At 45.9% G+C, this 11,799-nt stretch overlaps 1 annotated feature.

The window, feature by feature from the left end:
- Window positions 755-834: an enhancer, noted in NCBI's record as "active region_25613". NCBI's record gives its function as "activates an Ori minimal core promoter by ATAC-STARR-seq in GM12878 lymphoblastoid cells {active_cell/tissue: GM12878}" and the evidence as "EXISTENCE:reporter gene assay evidence [ECO:0000049][PMID:35858748]".

Genomic DNA, 11,799 nt, shown 5'->3' with positions numbered 1-11,799 from the left:
CCCGGAAGCGCTCGCCGCAGGCCCGGAAAAAGAATCCGCCTCGCAGCGTCCTCTTCAGGCACCCCCGGGTGGCTGTTTCCTGGCCGAGTTTGTGTTTTCCTGGCTCGCGGAGTTTTCTCCTGGCTACAGGCGAGGGCTGCGCGTTTCAGGAAAAACCGAGCGGGCACTGTTTTTTTTTTGTTGTTGTTTTTTCTGATAGGGTCTCAGTTTGTCATCCAGGCTGGAGTGTAGTGGCGCGATCTCAGCTCACTGCAGCCTCAACGTCCGAGACTCAAGCAATCCCCCTGCCTCAGCCTCCCAAGTAGCTAGGATTACAGGCGCGCGCCACCAAGGCCAGTTTTATTTTTTTGTAGAGGTGGGGTCTGTGTTGCCCAGGCTGCTCTCGAACTCCTGGCCTCAAATGGTCTCCCACTTCGGCCTCCCAAAGTGCTCCGATTACAGGCGTGAGACACCACCGCCCAGCCTGTTGTTGTTTTGGTGGTATTGTTTTAAATTTAATTTAGAGACAAGATCTCGCTTTGTCACCCAGGTTGCAGTGCAGTGGTGCCATCATAGCTCACTGCAGCCTCAACTCCTGGGCTCAAGGGATCTTCCCACCTCAGCCTGAGGAGTAGCTGAGACCACAGGCATGCACTACCATGCCCAGATAATTAAAAAATAGATAGATAGATAGTAGAGACAGGGTCTCACTTTGTTGCCCCGGCTGCTCTCTAACTCTTGGCATCAGGGGATCCTCCTGCCTCTGCTACTGGATGGAAGGTCTTGACCGTGGATTGCCCAGGTTCTTGGCTTGTTGAACACAGAACTGAACAAAATGCAATGCACAAAGTAACAAAAGAACAAAGCAACGAAAAGAAACAAAAGAAAAAACTGAAGTAAGGAAGAAACAGATTTATTGAAGCGAAAGTACAACTCACAGAGCAGGAGCAAGCTAGAGCAAACAGCTCAAGAGCCCCCATTAGGATTTTTATTAAGCTGGAAGAATTAGGTAACGCCCCTAGGTGCCCGTTAGAGGTCTCCGATTGGTTACACCCTCTGAAGGATTGGCCTGTGACCAATCAGAGGCTGAAGTGGAGACGCGCACCCGCCCCCCCCCCCCCCCCCGTCAATCAGAGGCTGTCACCCTCCCCCCCGCCCCCCCCCCCGTCGTCCATCAATCAGCCTCTGATTGAGGGAATGAACACGTGGCCTCTATGCTGCCTAATCTTGCCTAGAACTGGCTGCACCTGCTGTTCTTTTGTTTATGCCTTAACCCTTGGTTACCCTCATTCCCTATTCTGCCTCACCTGCCCTCCCAAAGTGCTGGGATTACAGATGTGAGCCACCCACACCAGGTCCATTGTTTTGTTTTTAGTTTATTTAAAAAGTATTTTATTCTAAAACAGCACTTTGCTCTGTTGCCCAGGCTGGATTGCAGTGGCCAGATCAGACGTCACTGCAGCCTGGAACTCCTGGGCTCAAGTGATCCTCCCACCTCAGCCTCCCGAATAGCTGGGACCACAGGTGCATGCCACCATGGCTGGCTAATTTTTAAATTTTTCGTAGAGCTGGGGTCTCACTATGTTAACCCAGGCTGGTCTCGAACTCCTGGACTCAAGTGATCCACTGGCCTTGGGCTCTCCAAGTGCTGGGATTGTAGGCATAAGCCCCTGTGCCATGGCAGTTTTTTTTGTAGAAGGAAATGTAGAGACACAAAGGAAGCCTCATTTAGAAATAAACAAGGCTAGCCACGGTGGCTCATAGCTGTAATCCCAGCACTTTGGGAGGCCAAGGTGGGTGGATCACTTGAGGCCCGGAGTTCCAGACCAGCCCCGTCTCTACTAAAATACAAAAAACTAGCCAGGCGTGGTGGCACATGCCTGTGGTTCCAGCTACTTGGGAGGCTTGAGGCAGAAGAATTACTTGAACCCAGTAGGTGGAGGTTGCAGTGAGCCAAGATTGCACCACTACACTCCAGCCTGGGCAACAGATCCAGACCCTGTCTCAACAAAAAAAAAAAAAAAAGAAAGAAAGAAAGAAGAAAAGAAAGAAAAGAAACACACTTAAGGGCAGATGTGCATTCCGTTTGGCCCATTAACATCATCTACAGAGTCCTTGTTTGAGAGACCTCAAGTGACCACTGGATCACCCACACCTACAAAGTTTGCCCCTTTCCCCCATTCCTTCAGCGCAGGTCTGGAGGCAGATGGGGCACCGTGTGTGCCACGGGAGCAATATCAGAGGTGGCAGACTCCCCAGAGTGGCTGTTCCTGGACCTTGCTGCCTGGGATTCCCTTGCCTTTGAGGTGTGTGGGTTGTGGCATAGTTGGGATGGCTTGTTACAGTTATGTGGATTCAAGCCTTGGCAGCATATGGTTTGACCAAGCTCAAGAAGACTTTGGTTTAGATTGCCTTATCTGTCACATATTAAGTTTGGAAGCAGAACCACTTCCCTTATCCAGCCTGGCAGAATAGACCACTTTTAGGGAAGTGATGAGTTGGAATTTGGACTGGAGACAGATCTGGGTACATATCCACTTTTGCCACTCACCGACTGCACCAATCTCCTTGCACCAAAGAAGAGATGGAGACTCTCTTGTCTGTATCTCTTATTTGGAAAATGGCTAATAGTAAATTCCTGCCAAGTGAGAGTTTCACTTGAAGAGTTAAATGGGACTATGAATGTGCATCAGGTGCCAGCACCTCATCATTATTTCATAAACGATTGCTACTGCTCCTTGCTATTGACTTTCCCAATTAGCTTGCTCTAGTGCATGAAATTATTCCATGAGAAATACATGTTTTGGCTGGGTGTGGTGGCTCATGCCTGTAATCCCAGCACTTTGGGAGGCCGAGGCTGGCAGATCACTTGAGGTCAGGAGTTTGAGGCCCAACATGGTGAAACATCGTCTCTACTAAAAAATAAAAATAAATAGCCATGCGTGGTGGCAGGTGCCTGTAGTCCCAGCTACTCGGGAGACCGAGGCAGGAGAATTGCTTGAACCTGGGAGGCGGAGGTTGCAGTGAGCTGAGATTGCGCCACTGCACTCCAGCAGCGGGATGGAGTGAGACTCTGCCTCAAAAAATAAATAAATAAATAAATAAATAAATAAATAAATAAAAATAAAGCACAAGGTGCTATACAAGTGAGTGAGATTAATATTTTATAGTATGAGTCACAGTTTCTCCCAGGATACCTCTGTGTCCTTGTACATGTTTGCCTCTCCCTTCCTCCCACATAGAATTCATTGCAGGAGGCATCGAAAGAGGGAGATGACAAAAAACAAAATTAAACATGCAGAGATCAAAGAAAAGAACATGCTTTTATGGTTTCAAAGTTAAGGATGCAAGAACGCTTAGAGCTCAATGCATCTGCCTCTCCAAACACAGTCCTTGGGTGTGGACGGGTACGAGGCAGGAGTGGTAGTGATGACAGATACCCGCATAGGTTTGGAGGTCTCAGAGGAGAGGGTGTGTGTGTCTTTCTCCCTGGGGAAGCTGGGGGAGGTGGTGAGCTTTGCAGAGTTCCCCTCTGGGTCCAGCATGGCTCAGTAACAGTAGAGTAACCAGGGAACAGGGGTATCTGGACGAGATATCCTTATTGTTCAGGAAGAAGCTGAATGATTTACTTGTGCATAAAAGGAATTCAGAGAAAGCCAGTGCTGAGAAGCCTCAAGGTCAGGACCAGGAGGAGGTAGCAGTGGCCCCTCAAGACCACGAGAGTAGAGAGGATTGAGGATGACTCTGTGTTCACTATTCGGACTGAGAATACTCCAGTCCCATCTGGGGCCTCGACTCTCTCCCCCAGCCTATGGTAAGAAGGGAGAAGAGGTTGCTTAATTACCTGACATAATTAAGATTCTGACTCCCAGCACAATGGGAATTCGAATCAAGTTCAGTTACAGAAATAGAAGTTAGACGTTTTGCACAAAGAATTTGCGAACTCAAAATTCCAAGGGAATGAGCTGTGGGAAAGACACATTTTGGTGTTGGAAAGGGAGCTCAGTTCCAAGTAGAAAGTCACAGTTCCGGCCAGGAACAGTGGCTCACATCTGTAATCCCAGCACTTTAGGAGGCCAAGGCGGGCAGATCACTTGAGGTCAGGAGATTGAGATCAGCCTGGCCAACATGGTGAAACCCCGTCTCTACTAAAAATACAAAACTTAGCTGAGCGGGGTGGCATGCACCTGTAGTCCAAGCTACTCAGGAGGCTGAGGTGGGAGGATCACCTGAGCCTGGGGAGGTGGAGGCTGCAGTGAGCCATGATTGCTCCCCTGTATGCCAGCCTGGGCAACACACCGAGACCCTGTCTCAAAAACATAACAATTTAAGGTGAATAGATTTACAGTCATTGTAGAGCCCCTAGGAAAACAATGTCAAAATCTATACACCCCGCCAAAAACAAGTTGACTTTTTGAAACCTGTGAAAACATATGCAAATGAAGAGTCTTTCCAGTGAATAAATTAACAGGCCAGGTGGAAACCATCCTGGTGATTCCAATTTCATCTGTCTTCTTAAGTGTTTGCAAAGTAACCTCATACCTTAACATGAGCAGAAGAGATAGAAGATAGGTTTTTGCTTGCAGTTGGATTCCTGAGTACCCATTCCATAAACTTAAACTGCAGTCATGACAGAGAATTAACTACGTAGCTTGTAAACCTGTACAAATAGGCAAGTATTTCCTATCATCACTGTTTTGCTATCCGTTGCTTATGAGCTAGAAAGAACTACTTTGTAAATACTGCTACTACGTCTCTACTAAGTACTACTACTTAGTAAATAACTACTTACAAAATCCTAAAGCATTTATGAGTATCAGTACTTAGCAAATGACTACCTACAGAATACTAAAACATTTACTGAATAGCCGTACTTAGCAAATGACTGCTTACAAAATATGAAAGTATTTACTGTGTAGCAGTACTTAGCAAATGACTACTTACAAAATACTAACATATTTACTGAGTAGCAGTACTTAGCAAATAACTATTACAAAATACTAATTAATTAGATTTTGTGCAATTATATAGTAGTGCTAAATATTAAAATACTTAGTATTTACAAATTGCTAAAGTATTTACTAATTAGTGGTACTTATAGTATTTACAAAATCTTATAAATACTTCATCATGTACAGATGCTGAAGCAAAATACTAGATAATGTTTGAAGTATTTTAATAATTCTTATTAGTCAACAACTAAACATTCACAAAGCTGGTTTTTAAATTTTTATTTTTTTATGCTAATCTCTGTATTGTTCCAATTTTAGTATACAGGCTGCCAAAGCAAACACACAAAGCTGGTTTTAAGATCATGTCCTGGCCGGGCGTGGTGACTCATGCCTGTAATCCCAGCACTTTGGGAGGCCGAGGTGGGTGGATCACCTGAGGTCAGGGGTTCAAGACCAGTCTGGCCAACATGGTGAAACCCCGTCTCTACTAAAAATACAAAAATTACCCTAGTGCGGTGGCAGGCGCCTGTAGTCCCAGCTATTTGGAAGGCTGAGGCAGGAGAATTGCCAACCCGGGAGGCGGAGGTTGCAGTGAGCCGAGATCGTGCCACCGCGCTCCAGCCTGGTGACAGAGTGAGACTCCATCTCAATAAATAAATAAATAAATAAATAAATAAATAAATAAATCATGTCCTACCAAAATATGAACTACTCTCCCAAACTATAAGCCAAAATTACAATTAAGTAAAAATGGTCAAAATGAAAGCCCACACTTCCAGTCCTGTTTTATCAGCAATTAGGGAAAATAATAGGATGCCTAGTTTTTCAACTCTGTGACCTACGTTGCAATCTAGACCTTCATTTCTTTCTTTCTTTCTTTCTTTCTTTCTTTTTTTTTTTTGAGCTAGGTTGTTGGTCTATCATCCAGACTGGAGTGCAGTGGTGCGATCACAGCTCACTGTAGCCTCCAACTCCGTGGGTCAAGGCATCCTCCTGAATAGTTGGGACAATAGCCGCACCACCACGCCCAGCTAACTTTTAAATTTTGAGATGGGATCTTGCTATGTTGCCCCAGCTAGTCTCAAACTCCTGGGCTCAAGTGATCCTTGAACCTTGGCCTTCCGAAGTGTTGGGATTACAGGTGTGAGGCACCACGCCTGGCCATGGACTTTCATTTCAAAGTCAATATATGGCCAGGCGTGGTGGCTCATACCTATAATTCCAGTACTTTGGGAGGCCAAGGTGGGCAGATCATCTGAGATCGGGAGTTCGAGACCAGCCTGACCAACATGGTGAAACCCTGTCTCTACTAAAAATACAAAATTAGCCAGGCGTGGTGGTGCATGCCTGTAATCCCAGCTACTCGGGAGGCTGAGGCAGGAGAATTGCTTGAACTGGGGAGGCGGCAGTTGCGTTGAGCTGAGACTGCACCATTGCACTCTGGCCTGGGCAACAAGAGCGAAACTCTGTCTCAACAACAACAAAGTCGACGTACATCATTTTGGTGCTGAGAACAAGCTCTCTTGAGGTAGACCTGTGGTCATCTACAAATTAGGTAAAAATTGAGAAGGCAAGCGCAAAGATAAAGTTGGTTATATGTCTGTCAATCCCTTTTCTGGATTGTTCTAATTTTCTCTAGAGTTTTGATTTCGTTTTGGGTATGTTATATTTAACAGTCTCCTTCAGTACATGAAAATACATGCAAATGAGTCAAACAATGAATAGAAATTTTGGGAACAGAATAGCATGCCAAGCTTTCATTAATTTGAGTGTGGGACACACTCTAGGCATGAAAGATTTTTTTGAAATCAGAATTTATTACTACTTTGGGCCACGTGCGGTGGCTCATGCCTGTAATCCCAGCACTTTGGGAGGCTGAGGCGGGTGGATCACCTGAGGTTGGGAGTTTGAGACCAGCCTGGCCAACATGGTGAAACCCCATCTCAAGTAACAATACAAAAATTAGCTGGGCATGGTGGCAGGCACTTATAATCCCAGCTACTTGGGAAACTGAGGTGGGAAGATCACTTGAACTCAGGAGGTAGATGTTGCAGTAGGCCAAGATCACGCCACTGCACTCCAGCCTGGGGGCAACAGAGCGAGACTCTGTCTCAAAAATAAAAATAAAAAATAAAGAATAAAGAATTTATTACTACTTTGGTTTAATGATAATTATTGGGCAAACTCTGCATCTCTTTTCATTTTATTTATTTTATTAATTTATTTTTGAGACAGGGTCTCACTCTATCACCCAGATTGGAGTGTAGTGGCATGATCATGGCTCACTGTGGCCTCAACTTCCAGGCTCAAGGGATCCTCCCACCTCAGCCTCCCGAGTAGCTGGGACCACAGGTGCATGCTACCACACCCAGCTAATTTTTAAGTTTTTTTGTAGCGACACGGTCTCCCTATGTTGTCCAGACTGGTCTTTTTTAAAATTTTAATTTTAATTTTTTTCCTTCATTTTCTGTAGTTACCATGCTGCACTTTATTTTATTTCTTTTTATTTATTTATTTATTATTTTTTTGAGATGGAATCTCTCTCTGTCACCCAGGCTGGAGCACAGTGGTGTGATCTCAGCTGGCTGCAACCACCACCTCCTGGGTTCAAGTGATTCTCCTGCCTCAGCCTCACAAGTAGCTGGAATTACAGGCGTCTGCCACCACGCCTGGCAAATTTTTGTACTTTCAGTAGAGATGGGGTTTCACCATGTTGGCCAGGGTGGTCTCGAACTCCTGACCTCAGGTGATCCACCCGCCTCGGCCTCCCAAAGTGCTGGGATTGCAGGCATGAGCCCCTACACCTGGCCCAGCTGCACGTTCATAAAGGCTCCAGTCTTCTCTCCCTGTTCTGTAATCCTTCCAGCTGGAGATAACTAGGATTAAAATTTTACTGCATCTCCTTTCATTCTTTTTATTGTGAGATACATGTTGAATAGGAAATTTGTATGAAATTCATGTAATGACTAAACTCAGGTAACTTGAAAAAATTATTTTCAAATTATACTTCCCATCAAAGACTTGGAAATGCTCCTTTTTTTTTTTTTTTTTTTTTACAAAATGCAAACTTAGAAAAATAACAACGAAATCAAAAAGTGCTAATTAATGAATATGCTCAAATGTGCAAAGAGGCCAGCCATGGTGGTTCATGCCTGTGATCCCTGCACTTTGGGAGGCTCAGGTGGGAGGATCACTTGAGGCTAGGAGTTCAGACCACCCCTGGCAACATAGCAAGAACCTGTCTCTACAAAAAATACAAAAATACAGGTGACCACCTGTAGTCCCAGCTACTTGAGAGGCTAAGGCAGGAGAATCACTTGAGCTCAGGAGTTGGAGGCTGCAGTGAGCTGTGATTGCATCACCACACTCCAGCCTGGGCAACATAGCAAGACCCCATCTCTAAAAAAATTTTTTTCTAATCCCCAGAGAGTTTTACTTGTATGCACAGGTGAAATAAATCCCACTCAACCCCACCGGAGCACACCCAGAATCCAAATAACATAATTACACTTCAGTATGGGTAAAGACGAGATTATTAGGTTTCATGTAAGTGTACCACCTGGCACTTCTTGGGTGTTAAATAGAGATAGTGCTTCATTATTGCTGCTTATTGTCTGTTGACAGAGACTCTGAAATGAAGTCCCTAAGATCGGGTTGGAAGAATGAAAAAGTAGTGTACTGTTATTTGAAATGGACAAAAATAATTGTCCCTTTGAATTGTAGTTTTGAAACAGTAAAATGAATATAATTTGTGAATAACCAACTAAAATTCTACCTATAGAAAATCCAGCCAGGTGCAGTGGTTCACGCCTGTCATCCCAGCACTTTGGGAGGCCAAGGCGGGTGGATCACTTGAGGCCAGGAGTTTGAGACCAGCCTGGCCAAGATGGCAAAACCCTGTGTCTACAAAAAATACAAAAATTAGCTGGGCATGGTGGTGCACACCTGTAATCTCAGCTTTCAGGAAGCTGAGGCGAGAGATTGCTTGAACCTGGGAGGTGGAGGTTGCATGAGCTGAGATTGCGCCACTGCACTGCAGTCTGGGCAACAGAGCGAGACTCTGACTCAAAAAAAGAAAAAAAATTTTTTTCTGGCTATTTATCCCTTTGTATACATCTAAGCATTTTCCCTAAGACAGTCAGGCCTAATAGTCTTGACCTAATCCAATGCTAATAGTCTCGTCTTTACTCACACCAGTTTTTAACTGTGGTGTTTGGATTTGGGGAATGCTCTTGGGGTATTTAATTCCTCCTATGAATACGAGTAAACCTCTCTGGGCACGAATTTATTTTTGTAGAGATGGGGTCTTGCTATGTAAGACTTAATGACACAGTGTCCCCTGGCAGCTCCATATAACCCCTTTAGTCATTTTTCCTATTCAGGTGCCCTCCTGATTGACAGAAAAGAAATAAGAGAAATTAGGCTGGACATACGGCTCATGCCTGTAATCCCAGCACTTTCAGAGGCTGAGGAGGGAGGACCGTTTGAGACAAGGAGTTCAAAACCACCCTGGCCAACATAGTGAGACACTCCATCTCTATTAAAAAAAAGAGAGAGAGAGAGAAATCCATGCTCTTAACCTAGATTAGGGTGAGGTTGTCTTGGCAGCTCCAGTGGGTAATGGAGTTCTTGGTCCGTGGAAAACTCACAACTGTGATTTAAAAAGCGCTATCATCCACGTTGTTTCTTTGAGGTGTCTATGGTGGCCAGAAGCCCCATGGAACGACAGAATCACCCATTTAGAACTGTTGATGAGATAAAGAATCCTTAGCTGGGGACTGTCGGTGGAGTGAAAAGAAAATAGCAGAGCAGAATACCAGTGTACGCTGTGGCGGTGAAGGCAAAATGTGGATTGTTTTAAGAATCAAGGCTCAGCCAGGTGTGGTGGCTCACACCTGTAATCCCAGCACATTGGGAGGCCTAGGTAGGTGGATCACCAGAGGTCAGGAGTTCGAGACCAGCCTGGCCAACATGGTGAAACCCCGTCTCTACTAAAAATACAAAACTTAGCTGGGTGTGGTGGTGCATGCCTGTAATCCCAGCTACTCAGGAGGCTGAGGCAGTAGAATCACTTGAACCTGGGAGGCAGAGGTTGCAACGAGCTGCTGCACTCCAGCCTGGGCGACAGAGTGAGACTGTCTCAAAAAACAAACAAAAACAAAAAAAGTCACTATGCTGAGAGTGATACTGTTAAAAAAAAAGTTTGTGCCTGTCACCCTAAGTCATCTTGAGGCCCCCTGCTAGTATGTGCCCCATACTTTGAGGAACCACATTTAACATGACCCTCTGGAAAACAAAGGCTCAAAAGCCACTAAGCTGGTTAGTGTGCCCGAAGCAATCTGGAAGAGCCCCAAGGCCTCTTGTGAGCTGGAGGGTTTAGTAAAAAGTGTGAGCTTTTACACAAGCTCTCCAGAAAATGCCTCAATTGTTCCCAGGAGTCCTCAACTCACAGGGTTAGCCCAAGAGAAGAGCTTTAATGTGCCACCTGGAAACCAGCCTGGTGAGAATTTCCTGGCTTAAGACTGCCCAGCCCTAATGACAGCCCTGTAACAGAACCCCGGAGGCTCACCTCAAACCGAAGGCAAGGCTAGGTGTATTGGGCTTAGGTGAATCGCCTTAGAGCCAGGAAGCCAGTGGCTGAGAAAGAGAAGCGGGAGGTGTCAGAGGACTGGGTGACAGCAGGTGAGCCTCTCTGAGGGCTCGTTTCTCTCTCTCTCTTTTTTTTTTTTTTTTTTTTGATAGCTTGTTTCTCAGAGAAGAAGAAGATGGCCAGGTATGGTGTCTTATGCCTAATTGTGGCTTGGAATCCTTTGGGAGGCCTAGGCGGGCGGATCACCTGAGATCAGGAGTTCGAGACCAGCCTGGCCAACAAGGTGAAACCCTGTCTTTAGAAATACAAAATTAGCTGCACGTGGTGGTGGGCACCTGTAATCCCAGCTACTCAGGAGGCTGAGACAGGAGAATTGCTTGAACCTGGGAGGCGGGGGTTGCAGTGAGCCGAGATCATGCCACCTCACTCCAGCCTGGGTGACAGAGTGAGACTGTCTCAAAATGAAAAGGAGAAAAAGGACTTGAAAATGGATCTGTGCTGGCTCACACCTGCAATCCCAGCACTTTGGGAGGCTGAAGTGGGATAATGGCTTGAGACCAGCAGTTCCAAACCAGCCTGGGCAATAGAGCGAGACCCTCCCCCACCATCTCTAATAAATAAACAATAAAAAGTAAGGCCGGGCGCAGTGGCTCATGCCTGTTATCCCAACACTTTGGGAGGCTGAGGTGGGAGGATGGCTTGAGCCCAAGAGTTCGAGATCAGCCTGAGCAACATAGTGAGACCCTCCCCCACCATCTCTAATAAATAAACAATAAAAAGTAAGGCCGGGTGCGGTGGCTCACGCCTGTTATCGCAACACTTTGGGAGGCTGAGTGGGAGGATCGCTTGCGCCCAGGAGTTCGAGATCAGCCTAAATAACACAGTGAGACCTCACCTCTACCAAAAACACAAACGTTAGCCGGGTGTGGTGGTGCATGCCTGTAGTCCCAGCTACTCAGGAAGCTGAGGTGGGAGGATGGTTTGAGTCCAGGAGGCAGAGGTTGCAGTGAGCTGAGATCGTGCCACTGCACTCCAGCCTGGGCGACAGAGCTGGACCTTGTCTCAAAATAAATAAATAATAAAGAGGAAATGGGTCCGTTTGTACTAACCTGGAATCGCAAGTCTCTCCTGAGCTTTACAGACCACTACAGACACGTATTCTGTTTTGTCTTGTACCTTTTGCTTTTAATTAAATCAAAGTGGCTTTCTAACACATGGCAGAAAACATACCGGTAAGAGTGACTGGCTGGGCACAGTGGCTCACGCCTGTAATCCCAG

This window comes from Homo sapiens, chromosome 7 (genome assembly GCF_000001405.40).
Source record: "Homo sapiens chromosome 7, GRCh38.p14 Primary Assembly".
In the NCBI taxonomy this organism is placed as follows: Eukaryota; Metazoa; Chordata; class Mammalia; order Primates; family Hominidae; genus Homo; species Homo sapiens.
This window is presented reverse-complemented; position numbering and strand designations above follow the sequence as displayed.